This window comes from Homo sapiens, chromosome 4, assembly GCF_000001405.40.
Source record: "Homo sapiens chromosome 4, GRCh38.p14 Primary Assembly".
Classification (NCBI taxonomy): domain Eukaryota; kingdom Metazoa; phylum Chordata; class Mammalia; order Primates; family Hominidae; genus Homo; species Homo sapiens.
The window spans coordinates 118,569,222-118,570,376 of NC_000004.12; the positions used below are offsets into that span (position 1 = coordinate 118,569,222).

Consider the following 1,155-nt stretch of genomic DNA (forward strand, 5'->3'; position numbering starts at 1 on the left):
CACACATAGGTGTACTTGCTATTTATCGTATTGCTATAAGTTTGTGCCAAAGAGGCACAGGAGTTCTGATGAATTCTATTTTCTTTCACTATTCCCATCAGGAAAGAAAACTGATGAATGGTAGATTTATAAATGTTTATGTTGCATTCACAAGCATATTCCTGGTGAAAAACTTACTTTTGATGAGACATTAATAAAAATCTGCTTCTCTGTTTACAATATTAAGTCAGGTGATTGAAAGGTTATTTACCAAGAACTTCAACTAGGCTTCTTAACAGCAACAAAAACTAGAAGGCAGAGGACTAATATATGTTGTTTATGGATGTATATTTATGTAGAAGAAGTATGAAAGCAGATGTGGGGATGATATACACTATTTTTTTTTTTTTTTTTTTTTTTTGAGATGGAGTCTCGCCCTGTTGCCCAGGCTGGAGTGCAGTGGCACAATCTCGGCTCACTGCAACCTCTGCCTCCCATGTTCAAACGATTCTCCTGCCTTAGCATCTTGAGTAGCTGGGATTAGACGCACCCACCACCATGCCCAGCTAATTTTTTATTTTTAGTAGAGATGGAGTTTCACCATGTTGGCCATGCTGGTCTCGATCTCCTGACCTCAAGTGATCCACCTGCCTTGACCTCCTAAAGTGCTGGGATTACAGATGTGAGCCACTGTGCCCCGCCGATACACACTAATTTTTGAATAGAGTTATGTCCAGGGATGGAGGGAAAGAGAGGGTGATGCACACTGGGTGAGGCAGTAGCTGGACTGTAATATTTTGTTTATTAAGTAAATAGCATGTTTACTGAAAAGATGGGTTTGAAGCAAATAAGATAAAATATTAACAGCTGTTTTATCTTGGTGGTATACCACACAATTTATCATTTTCTGTGTTTTTTGTATGCCTGAATTGTTTCACATTTTTAAAAACTGTTTTGAAATATATTTCCTTTTCCCCTTCATTATGTTTAAAGAATGCCAATCAGTAAAAGGACTGAAATTGAGAGTGAATTTCTGGTATTTCTGATCAAGGAGAGTAAATCATTGGATCAACTTGTCATAAACTTGATGGAGATACATGTAAAAAGAAAAAAATGACACTGAACTTCTTTTCTGAAACTGAGCTAGCACTTCTGAAAAGAGCAAAATCACAGAAC

The 1,155-nt window shown here is 37.1% G+C and overlaps 1 annotated feature.

Annotated features, from left to right (window-relative positions):
- Positions 458–655: a silencer, noted in NCBI's record as "fragment chr4:119490834-119491031 (GRCh37/hg19 assembly coordinates)". NCBI's record gives its function as "represses an EF-1alpha promoter that drives an FKBP-Casp9 reporter gene in an ReSE screen in K562 erythroleukemia cells {active_cell/tissue: K562}" and the evidence as "EXISTENCE:reporter gene assay evidence [ECO:0000049][PMID:32094911]".